The sequence below is a fragment of the Homo sapiens genome, chromosome 12, assembly GCF_000001405.40.
Source record: "Homo sapiens chromosome 12, GRCh38.p14 Primary Assembly".
In the NCBI taxonomy this organism is placed as follows: Eukaryota; Metazoa; Chordata; class Mammalia; order Primates; family Hominidae; genus Homo; species Homo sapiens.
The window spans coordinates 15674970-15697345 of NC_000012.12; the positions used below are offsets into that span (position 1 = coordinate 15674970).

The following is a 22376-nucleotide window of genomic DNA, read 5'->3' on the forward strand; positions in this document are numbered from 1 at the left end:
GCTTTAATTATAAAAATTAAACAGAGAGACTAGCTCCAAACCAAGATCAGGAGATAGACAAGAAGAGAAAGAAAGCTAGGTATGAAAAGGACAACATATGGAATGGATATGTGTTAAGAAAAATTCAGGAACACTGCTACAAAAGAGTTGAATCAAGCACTGTGTAGAACTAAAGTTTATAGTAAACCCAATTATACAGAAATTCACCATGCAGTTTATAGGTTACTTATACTCAATTCTTACCAACACCTCCTTGAGAAGAAAATACAAAGATAGAAAAACAGAAATATATTTTCCTACTTGTTAACATCACAGAGCAGTTTAAACTTAAGGTTAAAATAAGACTTAAGGCCAGGCATGGTGGCTCACACCTGTAATCCCAGTACTTGGGAGGCCCAGGCAGGCAGATCACTTGAGGTCAGGAGTTCAAGACCAGCCTGGCCAACATGGCGAAAGGCTGTCTCCACTAAAAATACCAAAATTAGCCAGGTGTGGTGGCACACGCCTATAATCTCAGCTACTCAGGAGGCTGAGGCAGGAGAATTACTTGAACTAGGATGTGGAGATTGCAGTCAGCTGAGACTGTGCCACGGCACTCCAGCCTGGGCAACAGAGCGAGACCCTATCTCAAAAAATAAAAATAAAATGAGACTTAAAAGAGTACCTTTCTATCATACTGACCCAATATTATTTGTCCTCCCAATAATAAAATCTCAAAGTTAACTGTAGGTGTTGGTAATGACAACAAAATATTACTAATTGGTAATTCAATGAAATGAGTTTTCTAGAGATAAAATGACTTTAAGCAGTTGGTAATTTATGAAATGATCACATTCCAAATTAAGCAATATCTAATTTAAAGAGAAGTTAGCTTTCTGGAAAGTCTATCTATTCAGAACATAGAATAATACCCACACTTAAATAAATGAAGTCCTCTGAGCGTTTGTTAGAGATGCCACCATGTCTATACATTAACACGTGCATATTTTAACATACAGACTCTAGTGGAAAAGACTCTCTCGGCTGGGCGTGGTGGCTCACGCCTGTAATCCCAGCACTTTGGGAGACGGAGGCGGGCAGATCTCAAGGTCAGGAGATCGAGACCATCCTGGCTAACACGGTGAAACCCCGTCTCTATTAAAAATACAAAAAAATTAGCCAGGCGTGGTGGCGGGCGCCTGTAGTCCCAGCTACTCAGGAGGCTGAGACAGGAGAATGGCGTGAACCCAGGAGTGAGCCGAGATTGCGCCACTGCACTCCAGCCTGGGCGACAGGGCAAGACTCCATCTCAAAAAAAAAAAAAAAAAAAAAAAAAAGACTCTCAAGTCCCCACTTAGAACCTATTCACTAAGAACATTTTTTATCTAGTTTCCCAGCCTACAGATACCAGAAGCCATGCTAGAAGCTCACGTGTTATAACAACATGGAAAAGGGACAGGCTTGAGACCCAGTCACATGGAAAAAGCAGCCCTAAATATTCAAAAAGGAGATGAATCTGAATGATTTGGTGTAAAGGTAAGGAGTGCAGTCCCTGAGTTTCACAGTGCATAAGCTAATGTGCATATGCATGATCCTTTGTCCCCAAGAAGAGATTACAGCTGCCACACCCAAGCGAAGGGAATATTTAATATACTTTACAATTATTTCCCTTAAAAACAATTTTAAATTTTAGTGCTTAAAGGCTTTGACAAACAGCCTAGTTGGAAAAAAATATAAAATTTCCAGTATTCTGATAACAGTAGCTAAGTAAAATGTTACTGTTATAACTGGAGGAGAGAGAAATTAATATTTATCTTCCTAAGTAAGTGTTACGGTGTCAGTGACAATAATGATGCAGAGTCTTTCACATGCTGGCTCAGAAATTTCTTGTATGGTAATTTAAAAATGGCAAAATCAAGTTATTAAAATGGCAGCATATTTTCACCATTTTCCTTGAATAAATTAATATGTCCTCAAATAAGCAAATTTATTGTCATATACAAGCATAGTTCACAATACAATTATACCACTTATAAAAAATATTTCTAGAGCATTATAGGGAGTGACATATGGAATATAAGTTTTAAAATATATAATGAAAGTCACCTCTTGATTCTGTCAAAATATCACTATAATTAATTGTCTAACATCATTTGGAGGTAATATCAAAATATTACATTTGAGAATCTTGATGAATCTGAGGACCCAGGACAGAAAGTGACTCTCCAGTACCACTCCCCATTCCCATGATGGCGTCATTACTTCTGTTTTCTCATATAAACTTACCACAGAATTATTATCATTTTTATTTTATAAATGAGGAAACTGGGGCCAATCATTTGTGAAAGACAGCAGCCATTTGGTAGCAGTACCATGATTCAGATCCTCTGGCCTCCAAAACCCCTGCTGCCTTTCCGAGCACATTCAGTAGAAGCAACCCAGGAGGCCCACTATAGTGTCAGACCTGAAAAGTGTTCTCATGAAAAACTCTGCATGAAACTTCAGACAGAGTATCTAGACTGTGGTCAGTGCGTAAAAAACAGTGTGAACATTCATGTTCCAGTGCACAAAACAGTATCCTCCTATTACAAAGATGTTCATGTACCACCCATGAAGGCAAATTAATTCTTGGAACATGATTTCAACTCGTTTAAAATTGTAAAAGGATAAATTTTACATAAGATGCATCAACTGTGAGAAAACAAATTATATCATAAATCTCTTCTTTACTAACTTTCCAGTTAAGAAGAGACACTGCCAGCACACACTGTTTAAGTTGCAGATGTGGTTTCTTTCTTCTTTGTGTCTAATACCCACCACTGTCTCTCAACACACCACACAAAACACACACATAGTGCCCTCCCTCTGAGAGTTCTCAGAAAATGCCTGTGGAATGAATGGACAGATGGATGAATGACAAGGGAGAAATATGTTCATGTTTTGAAGATACATATAATCTCTTCTTGGTGACAAAGGATCATGTGTGTGCACATTAGCTTATGCGCTGTGAAACTCGGGGGCTGCATTCCTTACCTTTACACCAAATCATTCAGATTCATCTCCCTTCTGAATATTTAGGGCTGCTTTTTCCCATGTGGCCGGATCTCAAGCCTGTCTCTTTTCCATGTTGTTATATCATGCATACTTCTAGCATGTGATAACAGATGCTATACATAAGTTAAAACTATGCAGACTGGGATGCTAAACACTCCCAAAGCTACCTAAAAAAAAACTTCAACTAGAATCTGTTTATTGCAAAGCTATCTTCAAAACATGAACATATTTCTCCCTTGTCATCCATCCATCTGTCCATTCATTCCATAGGCATTTTCTGAGAACTCTCAGAGGGAAGGTACTGTGTGTATGTCTTTGTGCAGTGTGTTGAGAGACAGTGGTGGGTATTAGAAACAAAGAGGAAAGAAACCACATCTGCAATTTAAAGCCATCTTACTTCTAAGCCCAATCCATTGCTAAGACTTCTCTCTTCCCTATAAATGCTTCTTGGATTTGCCCCTTTCAATCCATTTATTTCTATCTCATTGTACCTATACACTGCTCATTTTCATTACAGTATACAAAATTGTTACAGTGGTATCAAGTTTAAAGTTATGTGACTTTGATAATCATCTAACTTGAAAAGGGGGCCTCACTTTGCTTTATATGTAAAAGGGGGAAAATAAAAATTAACTGCTTAAAAGCTAAAGATTTTCTAGGCTGGTCTCAAACTCCTGACCTGAGGTAATCCATCTGCCTTGGCCTCCCAAAGTGCTGGGATCACAGGTGTAAGCAACCCTGTCTCTACTAAAAATGAAAAAATTAGCTGGGCGTGGTGGCATGCACCTATAGTCCCTGCTACTCTGGAGGCTGAGGCAAGAGAATCGCTTGAACCCTGGAGGCGGAGGCTGCAGTGAGCCGAGATTGCACCAATGCACTCTAGCTTGGGCAACAGAGTGAGACTCTGTCTCCAAAAAAAAAAAAAAAAAAAAAAGTAAGATTTTTCATTCCTTGGATCTAAGATTTTACAAAGTTGCTTCTAATACAACATAAACATTAAAATTTACAGGTGAGTTCTATTTTCTATTCTTATTTCTTTCTTAGCTCTCTGAAATTAGATTTTAGATCTGTGGTATTTCTGACAGGATTAATACTCTTTCTCCTTATTAAAAGTCTTTAGGCTACTATTAGGTGTCTAATTTGCCATATTACTTAAATCTCTGATTCACTTATTTCCATCCATATTCATCAAATTCATCCTCAATATTACTACCAGAGTGAGCCAGAACAAATCTGACCTATTACTATCCTGAGTAAAAAACATCAAAGGCTGCTCATTCATTGTAAACAATGCCTAAATTCCTTAGTATAATTCTTCCCAATGTGGTCTACGTTCATTTTTTCAGTCTTATTTCCCAATGCACCACTATGCACTCTCCAGTTAACACCAAATTGCTTGCATCTGATTAATTCATTACACTCATTCTGCAAGTATTTTCTGAGCATAAATTATATACTAGCCACTATGCCAGTAAGCACAGGGAATCCTGAAGTGAACAAGACAAATATGGGCCACCTTCACAGCATTGATAGTCCTGCTTAAAAGGGTTTCATACTGTCTGTAGCATCCTCCGACCCCTGAAATGCTGAAGAACACAATATAACTTTCACAGCTCAGCTCAAGGCTCAATTCCTCTATTAAATCCTTTCTGATCAACCCTCACCAGTGCACCTCCTACACACTACTATCTAAGCACATTTAGCCCTTTATTATAACAATGTGTTTACTAGTCTATTGCACCAAAATGGCACATAGGCAACAGCCTTCTCTTAGTCATCTTTGAAATGAATGAAAGCACATAGAAATAAAGACTATGAAGATCATGGCATAGCATACTTAATAAATACTGCACTTAATAAATATCTGTCTAGAAATGAAAGACTGAATTATTTTATTCTTATCCAAAAAATCTTTTTCTGTTATCTTCAAGTTATTCTCCAGACTTTAAGTCCCTTAAAGTCAGGGATCATATATTTTTGGTCCTGTTCTGTACACATATTAATGACAAAATATTTATTGAATACATTCTCTAGATCTACAATTCATAACTATTAGACCATGGTAATAATGTCACAATACTTAATAAACTGAAACCAACAACAATCAGATTAATAAGGCTATAAAAAGTATAGGCATGTATGGTATTAAATCCATTTTATGAATGTCTGATTTCAGTGATAATGCCAATTCACTAACATAGGTAGAAAAACAATCACAAAACCTTAGAATTGTTTATTCTTACAACAGCCAAGAAGTTGCAGATCTAGATAATGTAAAAAAAGAATTTCACAATTTAGAAAATGCTGTTGGTTCCTATAGCACATAATATCGATAATATCAACAATAATAATAGCAAACACATACAGTGTTTTCTACTTGCCAAGAACAGTTCTAAGTATTTTGCATGTACTAACTTATTTAATGCTCATTTCAACCCTGTGAGATACCCCCATTACACAGATAAGCAAAATTAGGCACACGCAGGTAAATTAATTTGCCCAAGATCACTCAGATAATAAATAACTGAATTTGAACCTAGGAAGTCTGGTTCCAGAGTCTTTGCTATTAACCACAATATTATTCTCATTCTTTATTGTTATACAATAAAAGTGGCCATCCAGACCCTATACAAATAAATGCCATCCTAAACATATGTGGCAAACTTCAGGAGTCCTCGACTTCTTGTTACTTATGACTTCTATTTTGTATCTGAAGTGTAAAAAATAGTATGTATATGTGAGACAATCCAGAGAGGGCACTGGAAGTAAGATCAGGGAAAAAGCATAATCATTTTGCAGTGCATAAAGAAATTATATAACATCTATTAGACATACTGTAATAATACCCCCCAAAATTCAAGAGCTATCAGGAAAACGTTCTGTCACCTGTCAGCCCACCACCAACTAGATCAGTCACAAAGATCAACAAACATTATTACAAGTAGTAAATGGGAAAAGCCACCTAGGGCATTGGCACCATGCATAGGACTTTTGAAAGCACTGCAATACATTTCATCTGTAGTTCTAAAATGCATAACAGCAAGCAGAGTTCATGGCTTTGGTAGTTTTTATAAAAACTCTTCTTTAAAATAATCCTTATTTAGCTATCACTGCCTCATTCCAAACAATATTAAATGTGTGGGTTCAAACCATGAGTTTGAAAATGTAATTTGTAAAAAGTGGTTAGAAACAAAATTATACCCTATCAAATAAACAAACCTACCATAAAGGGCCTTTGCACTTGTTTTTGAACCATGTTCTCTGTCCGTCTGGGAAAAGGTAGGTGATGATCCGTAGCCACTGTAATAATAATAATAATAATAATAATAATAATATAAAAAGGTCATTGTGTTGGGTTAAAGTCCAATATAAGTAACAGAAACTCAACTAGAAAATAAAAATTCCAATGCACTATAATCACCACGTGTTTAAAAGAACATACTGATGGCCAGGCACGGTGGCTCACGCCTATAATCCCAGCACATTGGGAGGCCGAGGTGGGCACATCACCTGAGGTCAGGAGTTCGTGACCAGCCTGACCAACATGGAGAAACCCCATCTCTACCGAAAATACAAAATTAGCCGGGCGTTGTGGCGCATGCCTGTAATCCCAGCTACTCGGGAGGCTGAGGCAGGAGAATCGCATGAACCCGGGAGGTGGAGGTTGCAGTGAGCCAAGATCGCGCTATTGCACTCCAGCCTGGTGACAGAGCGAGACTCTGTCTCAAAAAAAAAAAAAAAAAAAAAAAAAATTAGCTAGGCATGGTGGCAGGCACCTGTAATCCCAGCTATGCAGGAGGCTATCTAACCTCTTGCTACTAATATGTTATGTGAAATAAATAGTGCTTTATTTGAATTTTACTCATTTTTTCAGTGAACATTTTTGTAAGACCCAAAACCTAGAAGAATAAGGACTATGGGAGGGGGAAACAGGGTGCTGTCAATAAAATAAGTACATAAAATAATTATAATAGAATGTGATATCTGGGTAAAACTAATAGATATGACATGTAAAATCAAAGAAGGACTAACTCTTCATCAACATATCTAAGAAAACTTTACTACCGCATTGACACAAGCAGAATCTAAATGAATGGAAAGAAGCTCTATAAACAGGCAGAGAATCAAGTGAGGAAAAGGTACGTGGAACTGACTCAAGAAATAGCACAGTGTCTGTGGAAAGATGCAGTTAATGTAACATTCCCAGAATAGACGAATGACTGGAGAAGCTGTGGCAGATTGAGGGCTTTTAGCATCATGATTAAGAATTACATTTTATTTTATTCTCTCAAAATAGTAAACATTACCTGTTATGAAAAAATGATGAGTAAAATATATACCACAATGGCCAATGTCAAATAATAACATTAATCGTAATACATAAGACAATGGCCAATTAAGTCAGGGTTATGATTTCAAGTTATACCTGGACCCACTGGAAATATTTTGTTAGTTTGCCTGATCTTTTCTAGTTTTACACAGTGGTAAATAACTTGATTAGTTTATACTAAATGACATTTAACCCTTCTCAAATGCCAATATTTTATAAATAACAATAACAGAATGCACCACAGAAATTCAAAGCTCTGAAGTAGATTATATATTCAACCATGAAAAGCAAGAATGCATAAAGTACTAGAATGAAACAGAAACATCTTCCAAGTGTGAGATCAATATCATTATCATAAGGCTATTTACTTTACCATCTTATTCTTATCAGACATAGTAAACTTTTAATAACATGTGTTGTAACAAAGATATTACATATTAATGAGGAATGAACTACTGAACTACACAACGAAAGTAATCTTTTCACTAAAAATATAAAACAATTAAAATCACCAAATCAAATTCCCCCAAAACATATTAAATATAAACTTTTCAACTTACTTCATCTGAGATGGGTACATTCCAAAACTACTGGGATGATTAGAAATATGACCATTCATTGTGTCTTTCACTTGTGTGTTCTAAAAAAAGAAAGACACATAGATTAAAGGCAATAAAAAGGTCAAGACATCTCAGTTTCAAAAGTTATTCATTCAACAAATATGTGTTGCTGCCAGGAATTATAGTAGAAATGCAAAGATAAAGATCTCCACCCTCAAAGAGCTCAGGCCCCAGAGGTATAGATGAACATTTAAACAAAGATCCAACTGGCATTTAAAATTAATATGCTAAAATTATAAGCAGATTTAGGTGAACAAAAGAAAAATCTAAAATATAGTTCTGAGTTCTCAAAGCATATAGACATAATTCTACATTCTGCCCAAACTCATAATCAACTATCAATTTTATGAGATGTTATTTTGTTTACTATTCCATTATAAAAGTAATATAAACTCATTTAATTTAAAAAGTTGAGAAATACAGAAAAGTACAAAAGCAAAAAGTATCACCCAGAGCCCTATCATTTACAGAGAACCAGGTAACAGTTACCTTGCAGTCTTTTTGCCTACAAGTGGTTTTCTTTCCTCCCTTCCTTCTTTTATTTCTTCTTTCCTTCAAAGCACATTTGACAACATGTGCTTTGTCAAATGCACAAATGCACATGGACACATCCTTTTTTCAAGAAACTTTTCATTTACACACTTCTTTTACTTTTCACAAGAAAATAACTTTAAAAATCAATATCAGATATTTAACCTCAAAAACCATTTTTAAATCTATTTTACAGATTGAACAAACTTCCTTCAAACAAGACAAATAATTAGTAAAACTTCCTCTTTACCAAATGGAATGGCCTTTTCTTTCTTCTAGATAACATTGCTGTACCCAATTTGTTTCTTTTCACTCCTGGATATTTGGTCCTCTCCGGGTTTGTGTCACTAAGCTATCCTGGATCCTGCCTTAGTTTTCTGAATTTTGTCTTTTCAAATATATTATATTACTATGTCCTCTCAATAACTGTGAGTTAGGCAGGACATACCCCAGCTTTATGGGCCAAGGGGGTGAAAGCATGAACAAATATTGATTATTAAGTTTCAGGTCCTGTGATGGATATTGGGACCACCAAAGTGAACCAAACAGACATGGTCCCAACTATAGGGCCAACAGTCTAGTGGGGGGAAACAGATAATGAATAAGTGTAAAATTTTAAGTTGTACTTATCATTACAAAGGGAACATTCATCATAACACGGATGCAAATAATAACAGAACTTAACTCTGATTGGAAGAGCACAGAAAGCCTACATAAAGAAATAATATTCAAGATCTGGTCACTTCGAGTTAATTCTGTCTCATTCTTCAGATCTCAGTTCAATCACAATGTCCTCAGGGGAAGATTTTACTGACCGTCCTGGATAGATAAAATCCCACTATCAGACACTCTCCATACTATAGACAATTTTTCAAAGCATTTATCACATTCATAACTTTTCCTTTACTTAAATTAATACCTGACTCTTCACTAAACTCTTAGCCCCCAAAAGGCTTGAATTTTTGTTTGATGACTTCTGCTTTTCAAATAAGAAGAAGGGTACCAGGCACAGAATAGGTGTTCATTAAATATTTATTCAAAGAAAGAAAGAAGGAAATCCATGTCCCACTCTTCAAAGAGTTTATTGTATTCTTAGGGAAACAAAGTTAATTCATGTAAAACAAATAGTAAGGAATTAAGTCCCAACATATGTAGCTCTATTTTAAATCTGCTAGAAGTTCGGAGAGGGAAAAGGCCATGAAGACTGTCATTACTTTCTGGAAGGGCTGGGACTTGACCTAGTTCTTAAAAAAATGGGTAAGAATGGCCCTCAAAACACTGGACTTTAATTTAAGCTTTCCTATCCACTGCTTAAAAGCACATTTATAAATTAAGAAGCAAAGAAAGATCGGCCTCTGCCCTATACATGCATGTACTTATAAAATTACATGTATATTACATTGCTGTGCTCCATTTTTGTTGTTTTCCTTCTTCAGTTTACACTTGGATACAATCAGTGGTGTGCTGGTAAACCAATTCTCAGGGTGGGACAAGGCAGAGGGCCTGATTTGTAGTGCTTATTGTTTTCCATGGTATAAATATTCCCACCATGGCCAATTTCAAGCAGTCAGTGGTTTAACAGCAGCTTACAAAATTCCTAAATTCTTCACGATTGGCTAAGGATCCAACTGCAGCACATCATTGCTACGTTCTATAATTTGGGCCAGAACAGAGGCCTGGAATAACATTATGGAACTAGAGATAGTCTGGAATTTTAACACTATTCCTGGCACTAACTGGGCTAGGAAAGTCAATTAAGCCTCTGGCCTCTGTCTCAATGTCCTCGTCAGTAAAATAGAGATAATTCTTCGTCTTCCGAGCTCACAGTGCTAGTGTAAAGATGAAATGAGATAGATGTGCAAGTTTCTTCCAAAACTGAAAAAAAAAGAAGTGTTCTTTCAAAGCAAGCTGGTTCATTCAGTATATAAATTAAACCCCCAGGGTTTGTGCTGATTTTGATCTGGTTTGCGTTTTAAAACCACAGCAGCTGGTTTTAATGAAAAGTGATAGCCACAGCATCTCATCTTTTCATGTTTAATTCTTCATGACAATCAAATAAATGCATGGTCTCTCTTTTGTTTTAAAATAGTGATCTGTTAGAATAAGAGAACATTAGAAAAGGGGATAGAAAATGGCAATTTGCTAAATTGAATTTTAAATATAGAAACTTTTTGTCATTTGGCAATCACAGTTTCACTTATCACGGCGGCTCATGTGGCAAATATGGAGGCTTTCAAATACCCAATTTGAGCGATTGCAGTGTATACCATGCGGAGGAAACAATTACAAATGTTTGTCTTTTTTTCCATTAGGCTTTTAAGACATACCCAGTTTATACCCATATACACAATTTAAAATAATGATCAACTCTAACTGAAAAATTAAGTGTTTTTATTTTTATAAACTGTTAAAGCAACCTAAAAACTAAAGAGACAAAGGTTTTTTTAATCGCTTTTAAGTTTAATGACTCACAAATGCAGTTAATCACACTAACTACATAATTCTGCTGAAAGTATACACTAAAGCCATCATAATAGCTACCACCTACAGTTGGCTCCTGAACAAGAGGAGGGTGAACTGCAGAGTCCACTTACAAGCAAATTTTCTTCCACCTCTGCCACCCAGAGACAGCAAAACCGACCCCTCCACTTCTTCTCCCTCAGCCTACTCAACATGAAGACAAGGATGAAGACCTTCATGATGATCCACTTCTATTTCATGAATAGTGAACATATTTTCTCCTTCTTAAGTATTTTCTCTAGCTTACTTTATTTTAGAATATATAATACATATACAAAATACGTTAATCAACTATTTATATGATCTTAGGTAGACAGTAGGCTATTAGTATATGTTTTAGAGGAGTCAAAGTTATACACAGATTTTTGACTGAGTGGGGGTCAGCACCCCAATCCCTGCATTTGCTCAAGGGTCAGCTATATTTGATTTTAAGTAACAGCATCAATTTCCTTATGAAAACACTTTTAGTAAGTCGTAGTTACTATAATTTTATCTTTATTTTCTACAGAAAATAAAATTCTTTGGCAATTAGAAGGATACAAATGATAAATTTAAGATCTAAGTTAAGCGAATGAAAAATGTAACACACTATAATTTTCAAAAAGAAAGGAAATGGAATATATAAAAAATGACTAAGAAGAAATAAACAAGGCTATAAGGTTAACTCAGCAAATTAAATTTGTATCAGAAGGTTTTAAGATCCTCAAATATAAGTTTTAGATTCCTTTTCTTTACTCTTGCTTGCATCTCATATCAATTTTCAAATTGGTAGATGAGTATGTAGTCATGACTCAATATTAGAAAACTACTTACCCAATCTTGCTGCCACATAATTAGTAACTCTCTGCATATTTAACTGTCCTTCAAATGACTTGTGTTCTCAGAAAATATCACAGATTTTTTTATCTACAGAAGTGTGTTTTTGTGTGTTTGGATATGATATTGAAACATCTATGTCTAGGTTTCAATTTAATTTAATTTATGTCTCCCAGTCTAAGTTACAACCAAGTGGGAGGGGGTATTATCATTACTTAGGATTTTCACTAAAAGATCAGTGAAACTTAATTTCCACCAATACTTTGTGACATTGTCTAACAATGATTTTGTTTCAAACATTAAAAAAAAAATCTTCTTTAAACCTCTTAAATCATCACACATTTTGTCTCCTGCAATGTCTTCTAGAGCAATCACGTTTTAATATCTCTTTCCAGTACCATTGGTAAAGACGGCACCATGTATTTTTCTATGCTATTTTTTCAAATATCAATTAACAAAGAATTTTTATGTGTGAATAAACTCAAAAAACTAATAAGGATATTAAGTTCTTGTAACAATAATGTGGTTAATGCCTGTGAAGGTATCACAATTTCTAGACCATATAGAAGAACAGTATTTTCTCAACACCAGTATCAATGTAAATGGAGTAGTTTTATGCCTTTAAGTCAACACAATAAAATCACTTAAAATAGTTAACTTAGTTCCTCTTTCTTTATGACAAAATTCTTAAGCTGTTTATAAATCAGAACATAATTTTGGGAAAAGTCTATGATCAAATCAGAATGTTGTTTGGTTAACAAGTGGCTGAAGAAAACTACTTATAACAAAATTTAATATGCAACTTTAGAAAGAACTACTTTAGCACTAATTATGTTTGCTATTGTGATGGTGTTCATAGGAAGGGCTAATAAAGAAAAGAGGCATAGACATATTCTAATACTACTATTATATTTCCCTCCAGTTCTTGTCTATTCCCTGAGTTGCTATGATGACATCATCAGCACACATGTACTACTGGATGCTATACTATACATGGAAATTACTAATATCTCAGTTCAAAATGTTTTGATATTTTACTGACTTGGGAAACTATGCTAATTTTAAAAAGAATCACTTCTATTTATTGAGTTTTAACTCTGCATCAGGTATCATGCTAAATGCATTCTATTGTCTTAATCTTGACATTAGTTTTTGAAGGAAGTACTATTCTTCATTCTCATTTTATAGATGAAGAAATTGAAACAAACAGACTGCCATTTGTGTGGTATTTTGAAGCTTAATAAAATCACATAGTACCATGAATGACTGAAAAGTAATGTCTTATTTGCATCTAAGGTAAAATCATAGGCAGAAGTGAACACAAAGGAGAAAGGGAAAGAAAACATTTAATGAGCCCCCAGTTCATAAGACATTTTACAAATATCACCTCACTTTATCCTTAAAACAACATTATCAGCTAGTTATTGGCTCTATTTTATGGGTGAGATGACAGCCTCAAGGCGGTTAAGTCATTTGCCTAAGTGGTAATGATACGGAAGGGAAGGGAGTGGTCCCTTTAAATAATACAGAAGTGGGGAAAGGAAGTGCTGGGTAGAGGAAGGCGGGGTCACTGGTTAGGGCTCCACCCCCATGGACCTAGATGAGGACAGGCATTTTTGTTTTCCTGCCCAAATGTTGCATTTCCCAAGACCAGCCTGGCTTGCCACGCCCCCATTTTGTGCCTATAAACACCCTGAGAACCTAGCAGGCAGGCACATAAGCAGCTGGACATTGAGAGGGGCACATCGGCAGAGGAACACACCAACAGGCACTAGCATGCTGCAGGCCACTAACCAGCAGAATGACGCGGAATTTGGAGTTTAGCAGGGGCAGCCGGACTCCAGGGGAAAACCATTCTCCCTTGTGGCTCCCCCATCTGCTGAGAGCTACCTCCACTCAATAAAACCCTGCACTCATTCTCTAAGCCCACGTGTGATCCGATTCTTCCCATACGCCAAGGCAATAACCCCAGGATACAGAAAACCCCCTGTCCTTGCAATAAGGTAGAGGATCTAATTGAGCTGGTTAACACAAGCTGTCTATAGACAGCAAAACTAAAAGAGCACCCTGTAACACTCGCCCACGGGGGCTTCATCTGTAAACATTCACTCCTAGACACTGCTGTGGGATTGGAACCTCACAGCCTGCCAGTCTGCATGCTCCCCTAGAGGTCTGAGCAGCGGGGCACTGAAGAAACAAGCCACACCGACATTGCATGCCCTGCGAGGGGGACAAAGGAACTTTTCTTGTTTCAGTAACAGAAGAAGCTAAAATTAGAAGCAGAACTCAAACTCTGATCTGACTGACTTATATCCCTTTTTTTTTTTCAGTAAGTTACACCATTGTGTGATAGTTTGACCACTGTGTGCTTGCCAAAAGTTTTCAGTTTTATTTGCTCGGATGTGCAATTATATTCTTTATTCTAATCAACTCTTCTTAAAATAAGGTATTAAAAATGCTAGTTTTTGGAAAGGAAGAGTATTTACTGAGAAAACTAGGATTAAATATATTTTTAATGCTAAATATCCTTTTTCCATAACAGCACCACATGCTAAATTAGTACAGCTCAACATACTTTACAAAAGCAAACAGAAAAAGACCTACCAGGGCCTGACATAAACCAGCTGGGTGGGAAGATGGAAAAACATACTCTAAAAACATCTTTTTTAAAAGTTTTGTTTTGTTTTTAATTGACAAATAATAATTGTATATATTTATAGTGTACAATGTAGTGCTTTGATACATGTATAACTATGAAATGATTAAATCAGGCTAATTAGCATATCCAACACCTCAAATATTTATCATTTCTTTGTGGTAAGAACATTTAAAACCCTCTCTGTTAGCTATTTTGAAATACGCAAAACATTAGTATTAACTATAGTCACTGTGCTGTGCAATTGGTCACCAGAACTTATTTCTCCTAACTGAAACTGTGTACCCATTGTTAAGTGAAATAAGCCAGGCACAGAGATTTCACTTATACGCAGACTCTAAAAAAGTTGGATTCACGGAAGTAGAAAGTAGGATGGTAGTTAGCAGAGGCTGGGAGTTGGGGAAGGAGGTGGACCAGGAGAAGAGAAACATTGGTAATATCATCTTTAATGAGACTGAAACGCCTGAATTCAAATTTCATTCTGGTGTATTAAATGGCATCTAAAAATAGTAAATCATAAAACATTACAGGTACAGCAAGAAGAGCTGTAACCCAAGGATGAGATATAATATTTTAATATTTAACCACCCTGTCACCACATGATTACCTTCCTCTGCATCACCTAGAGCAAAGGACATTAAGCAGCAAACAAAATACTGCAGGTGACTCACTGCATTTCCGTATAGCTCCTTAAGAGGATCAATCTTTTCTAAAGTGTACAATATATCTTTATAAATGCTTACAACATACGAAGTGGAAAATGGTATCTTTAGGCAACTGCTGTACTGATTCATCCCACTTCTCTAAATCATAAATACATCTCCCGAATATTACTACAAGTAAAAACTTAATTGTTAAACCACATGGGACTCTTTAAAAAGCATAAGAATTCTATTTTTTTAAAGGTTAACTAAATCTTTCTAGTGTATTATAATGCACATACTTACACTACCCCCAAACTACTTCTCATATATTTTATTGATAGTCACTATTTCTTATCTCAACTTCCTCTCTTCCTGCCTGCCATAATATTCTAACATTGATTGTTTTGATAAGGGAACACAGAGGTATTATATCTTATCAAGGATTATCCATTGTTTCAATTTGTCTGCTCTATTTTAGTAATACATGGTTTTACAGATCCAATGGCCAGCAGAATGATTATATGGGGGAATGTAATTGCTTTCTAACAGAATACGTTGTATACTTTTCTAGGTATCAGACTGTATCAAGAGCAAAATGTATAACTTTATGTCTATGAAAAGTTCACGACTAAGCAGGTAAGTTAAAACCCTCAATTCTTAACTGTTCCTTCTTCCTATTATCCTATGCCTCTTAACATTTTGCCCACAAAGATAAAAATGCACTCTTTTCAAAATAGTATTTTTCATTTATCTTCAAGAATAGAGGCAGTCCTAATAGGCTGCTAGAAAGTGATGCAATAAAGAAGAGTCAAGACCAAACAAAAAAGTCAGTTCCACTAACTGTCTACACTTGGCTGAATATAAAAAAAACAAGCCAGATTGTCAGTAGGTAATCCTACTAAGAAAACAAATCTCTAGCACCTCATCCAACTCACAGAAAAGCTAGGACAAACTTTCCTTGAAGCTTCACTGCTTATAAAGAAATTTTAGGGGAAAGAAAAAGCATCTTTAAGAAAAGACCACATTATAGGCAATAGAAGACAGCAAAGTGTGAAGTTCAAGGGCAACTAGATTAGGGGTGGATCTAGAGGATAAAATCTCCCTGAAAGAATGACTAGACCAAAAAAGGCAAGAGAGGCTGGGCACAGTGATTTACTATGCCTGTAATCCCAACACTTTGGGAAGTCAAGGTGGGGGTATTGCTTGAGGCCAGGAATTCAAGACCAGCCTGGTCAACATAGTAAGGTCCCATTTCTACCAATAAAAAAAAATTAACAAAAAAGAAAGATAATGACTTTTAGAAATATATAGTATAATGGGGCAGAGAGACATCAAAAGGATCATTTATAGTACAATGTGGCAAGTAGAAAGACAGTATGCAAGGCCTGCGCCTAGGGCTGGAAGCGGGAGACATTCGGTTCATAACTGCCTTCCTTCACAGGCTGTGATGCAGGAGCTGAGTAAGCCAGAAGGCAAAAGAGAAGAGCAAAGGCAGGAGATGGCTTTGGACACTTAGGAAACTGTCAGCAGTTTGGCAGGAAGTTATGAGGGATGAGGTTGGAGATGAAGTGAGAATCATATCACAGAGGACGAATTACAGATACACCACATTTTTGTGAGACTAAAATTCAGTGTTTACTTATTGAATCTATGTAAATGCTATTCACAGTATACTAAGAATACCCTTCCATTTTTATATATTTGTCTTCTGTTTGTTAATAATTATCTTTCCCCCCAACTCTTAGTGATCCTATGTCCCCCTCGTTAATTTTATTACTTTACACCACCAGAAGTGGAGCCCTCCTTTCAATACATTGAAGCACCACCCATTCTATCATTACTCTAACATTTCTGTCTTTCTGCAGGCTTCTTTCCCAGATATATGACTGCTCCACTCTGAACTGATTACTCTCTAAGGCTCCGAAGAGCTTTCATCACGGGATCCACATTCCTCACCACCTTGTGTATCCCCTTCACGTTCCCCCTGTCTTGGAGCCTTACTTCCTGGATCCTGGACCTCCCTCTTTCCATGCTTTTACTTTTTTATTTTGGTAGGGCACATACTTCAGGGACTTCCTAAGAAAGAGCATTAGAAATGTACATTTTTGAAACTGTATATGATGAAAAATGTGTTTATTTTACCTTTACACATGATGGACCGTTTGTCTTGGTTTCAAATTGTAGATTGAAAGAGGTTTGGTTTTTTTTTTTTTTTTTTTTTTTTGCCCCATAATTTTGAAGCCCTTGTGGTTCTGTCTTCAATGACCCCTGCTGAATGTTAGGGGCCACTCTGACTCCCAATTTTTTGTATAGAGCCTGTCTGTTTTCTTCTGTCTGGAGTCTAGGATCTTCATTTTTACCCCTGATGTTCTGAAATGTTATGGTGCTATACATTAGTATGGGTGTTTTTTGAAAAATTCAGCATATTGGAAACACAATAGGCCTTTTCAAACTTGAAAATCATTTTCCTAAAGTCCGGGAAATTTTCTTTTGCTATTTCTTTGATAGTTTCCTTGCTATATATACTTTTCCTTTTTCTAAAAAATTCAGTTGCTCAGAGTAGGACCTCCTGGTCTAAGTCTCTACTTTTGTATTTTCTCTTTTGTTTTTCATTTTGTAATTTTTTTTTCTACTTTCTGGGTAGCTTCCTCTTCTTTATATTCAAAAAACATTTTGAGTTTCTTATTTCTTCTATCAGTTCCATTTTTCAGGAGTACATTTTTAGAACCTAAAGCTTCCTTTTCTTTTAGTGTCTATACTTATTTTCTGATTACAGTATATTCTCTGATCTTTCTGAGAATATCCATGATAATATTTTTAAGTTTTCTTCTCCCTTCATTGTCTCTTTATGACAATTTCCTTGTTTTCGCTAGGTTTGTTTTGGCTTCTGAATTGCTTTAAATATCAGGTGATTACTGGTTATTACTCATATTGAAGATGAAGCCCTAAAAAGGTGGCAAGAAAGTCAGTGTCCATGGGTGGGGCTTGTGAACAAGTGGGCTTCACTGCACAGAAGTCCTGCTGGCAGACCCCAGCCATCAGTGTCTATCGGTCTTTTGCATAGATCAGTCAGGTTCTCCAAGGAAGTATCTTCCCATTCCATGTTTAGAGAATGTAAAGCTGACTGCCAAAACTTTGGCAATAAGTGGAAGAAGTCAGCCAGGGTTGTCTTACTGTTTACTAAGCATTTCATTTCATCTTTCACCCTCTGTCTGTACCTTGGTATCCCCAACCGAGTTCTCTAGTTCACATTCTCCACAGAATAAACTACTGGTTTTACTGGAGTGTGAGGAGGCATCTGGGATCCAAGTTCACTTTAAACACATGACTAATAAATCCTACTATTCTTAGCCTCACTCTCACTGTTGAGTCAGTTGGAGGTTCTGAAATGAAAATAAGGTTGCTTCTCAATGTCTCTCAATAGTAGCTTAGGTTTCAGCATGTAAGGACTTCTAGGTTAATCACAATTATCCACAGGCTTTATAGAGTCCCTTTGTCTCACTGGCTTTCTGCATTTAAAAATCCCTTTACTGTTATTTTATTTGGAGGAAGTGAAATAAATGCATATACCACCATGGAATACTATGCAGCCATAAAAAGGAATGAAAACATGTCCTTTGCAGGGACGTGGATGAAGCTGGAAGCCATCATCCTCAGGAAACTAACACAGGAACAGAAAACCAAACACTGCATATTCTCACTCATAACTGAGAGCTGAACAATGAGAACACATGGACACAGGGAGGGGAAAAAATACACACCAAGGCCTGTCAGATGGAGGTGGGGCAAGAGGAGGGAGAGCATCAGGACAAATAGCTAATGCATGCGGGTCTTAACACCTAGGTGATGGGTTGACAGGGGCAGCAAACCACAATGGAACACGTATACCTATGTAACAAACCTGCACATTGAGCACATGTATCCCAGAACTTCAAGTAAAATTTTTCAAAAAATGAAACAAATGTATATGCTTAGTCTGCCATTTTTCTGTAGCATATTTTCATTGTCTAAACATTAAGAAATATTTGTCAATGAAAAACCCAGATGAAAAATTCAAGTCACCTCTAATGTGAACTTGAGAGGTTCAGGTGGACTATGAAATATGAGTACAAGTTTATACTAAAAACAAAGGTACCATAACAACCAGAGTGAAAGTAACACAAAAAAAAATGAAGGAAATTTACATTTGATAAAGTCAGCTGGTATTTTGGTAGTATATGTTTAACTACCTATTGTTATTATAACAACAAATTCTGTTTTCAAATCCCAGAGAAAAAACAATACGCTAAAGCATGGACGTGAGGCAATAACCCCAGTTAAATCAGACATTACTGTTCACGAAAAGCTCTTGCTTTAATTGCTTTTCTAGAAATTAAATCATAACAGAGTTAGGTGCCTAAATAAAACCTGGAATTCATCCTTAGGTAAATAACCACTACTTTATCCATTCTTTATTAATTTTTTCCCAAAGAGAAGCCCATTTAAATTGATACAGCTGGGAACAAATTATTCGTGGACTACTCCAAAACAAAAGCAGAGATATTTGTACATTAGTTTTAAAATTCAAGTTGCCTATAAAAGTAGTATGAAACTCTCTTCTTGAGAGTTTACCTGCTTACATAGTCATTAAAAAATAAAGGAAGAAAAGTTAATTCCAATGGAAAAAATAATTGAGCCTATTATATTTCATATTTAAAAGTCAGTAAATATAAGCTTTGACTGTGAATAGCATTACCTTTGAAAATTGTGAAATTATAATAGAAGTTCTCAAAACCAGCAGTAAATTTTTTCATAACCATGAAATCACCCACGAATGAGGTAAATTTAGACATATTTCACTATTTCATTATTGTAAAAATAATGCTCATTAAGTATTTTATTATGTCAGCCACTGTGCAAGCACTTTACATGCATTATCTTACTTCTTATTAAGAGGTAAAAAGAACTTCTTATTCTCATTTTAATGAGAATCTGAGACTTTAAATTAGAGTTATAAGTAAAGGTAATTTGGCCATGACATCAGCAACAAGTTGTGCTTTTAACCACTATTATATACTTTCCTTTTACTAATGATAAATCCAGTATTTTGAAGTTGGCTGGGGAAATGTCAACATGGATTAATTAAAAACTAAAATAACTTTTAAACATGATTATTCAAACAAGATTCATTCAACATTAATTGGCACCTGCCAATCTGAGTACTACTTCATTCATTCGCTCATTTAACAAATAATTACTACGTAACCAGAATGTGCCCATCAGTGCTCTCGCACAGTCCCATACAACTTCCTAGAATAATAGAAATGCACTATATTAGCACTGCTCAATACAGTAGCTGAGCACAAGTGTTGAGCACTTGAAATGTGGCTAGTGCCACTAAGAAACTGAATTTTAAGTTTTATTACATATAAATTAGTTTACATTTAAATGTTAATAACCACATATAGACTAACAGCTACCACACTAGACAGGGTAGCTCTACATATTGAGTGCATGGTTAGCAAAACAGACAGGGTTCCTACCTTCATGGAGCTTACAATCTAGAGGGAGGAGAGCATGAAATAAGAAAATGAGGCAGGGCATGGTGGCCCACACCTATAATCCCAGCACTTTGGGAGGCCGAGGTGGGTGGATCACCTGAGGTCAGGAGTTTGAGACCAGCCTGGCCAAAATGGCGAAACCCCATCTCTACCAAAAATATAAAAATCAGCCAGACATGGTGGCAGGCACCTGTAATCCCAGCTACTCGGGAGGCTGAGACAGGAGAATCACTTGAGCCCAGGAGGCGGAGGTTGCAAAAAGAATAAATATGACAACTTCTGTTAATTTATTAAAAAGTAAAAATAAAACAGATAGCGTTTATAAGGATACAAACACAGACTGCATCAAACCTAGCTATGAACTTCTCAAAAGTATGGGACTGAGAGATTCATTCTGAAAATGTTCTCTCAGGATTTCTCTATTTAAAATCCAGGATAATTAGTCTACCTTTAAAACAAAGAATTTATGCATTTATTGAAAGTGTTTTTAATGTTTCAAGACAAGGTGAAACAGTACTCTGTTGACAAAAAATATGTAAAAATAATTCTGAATGAGAATGCTATTATTTATTATATTTCAGGTAGCAGTTTGAACATAAGCAAAATAAAAGACAGTAGGGATGAAGAAACACAAAAATAAAACAGTAAAATCTATAAAACACTAACTTTAGAGACTTTCCAAGTTTAAGAACATGGACTTGGCCGGGTGCAGTGGCTCACAACTGTAATCCCAGCACTTTGGGAGGCCAAGGCAGGCAGATCACGAGGTCAGGAGTTCAAGACCAGCCTGGCCAGCATCGTGAAACCCCATTTTTACTAAAAATACAAAAAATTAGCTGGGCATGATGACATATACCTGTAATCCCAGCTACTCGGGAGGCTAAGGCAGAAGAATTGCTTGAACCCAGGAGGCGGAGGTTGCAGTGAGCCAAGATCGCACCATTGAACTCCAGCCTGGCGACAGAGCGAGACTCTGTCTCAAATAAAAAAACAAAAACATGGACTTGATGAATCAGAAGGTCAGAGAAAAACACCTGAACTACTATTCCACTTGGGAAGAAATGGGACTTTTTTTACATGTCCACTTTGAGGCCAGTGTCAATCTATAAACCCCCAAAAATATTTGCCAGGAATTACATTCCTAAACTCGGGCATGTGGAATTAAAACCAAGCAGAAACACACCACTTTATAGTGAATTAATAAGTGAAAAAAGGTGTTTGGATTAGCAGGGAAGGGAGAGTGACCAAAGAACCTTCATGTTCCCGGATCACATTATATAGATTTTTGTTTGGGAATTTCAGATAGATTTGTTTGGGTAAGTAAGCTATTTTAGGTCAGAAAGAAGAGGAGATTTGAAGAGGGAATTATCGTAAGGCCAGCATTTGCATTTCTTTCTTTCTATTCCCACAGTTCCCATCTCTAACCAACTGGGAAAATGGCCTATAGACTGAAGAAGGGAAAACTTGAGGGACAAGCACAAACTGATTTGGGAAAATGGCCTATAGACTGAAGAAGGGAAAACTTGAGGGACAAGCACAAACTGATTAAAATGTCTAAATAACCCCCCAAATTAACTCCAGCTCTTGATTAAATAAACTGGATATCACTTACATGGCATAACTGCTGTCCCCCATTCTAAGCCAAATGGTGGTACAAAATCAGGGCATGAAGGAAAACTAAACTAT

General features: G+C 36.2%; 1 protein-coding gene across 21 annotated transcripts in view; it reads right to left on the reverse strand.

The window, feature by feature from the left end:
• The window catches only part of EPS8 (EGFR pathway substrate 8, signaling adaptor), a 169255-nt gene that overhangs the window by 54836 nt on the left and 92043 nt on the right, over positions 1 to 22376 (reverse strand). For 17 of the 21 annotated variants that reach the window (NR_182221.1, NR_182223.1, NR_182222.1 and 14 more), the window contains 2 exons: positions 7924 to 8003; positions 6257 to 6333 (listed from right to left, as the gene is read on the reverse strand). The exons of 1 other annotated variant lie outside the window; for it this stretch is intronic. Coding sequence is in view for 15 of the 20 variants with exons in the window: in XM_024448878.2 (XP_024304646.1) it covers positions 6257 to 6333; positions 7924 to 8003 (157 nt within the window). In the remaining 5 variants the exon portion in view is untranslated. Of the gene's footprint in view, positions 1 to 6256; positions 6334 to 7923; positions 8004 to 9199; positions 9334 to 21546; positions 21566 to 22376 lie in introns of those variants that run through there. 3 more of the 21 variants (XM_047428496.1, XM_047428499.1, NM_001413835.1) reach the window with 3 other exon arrangements.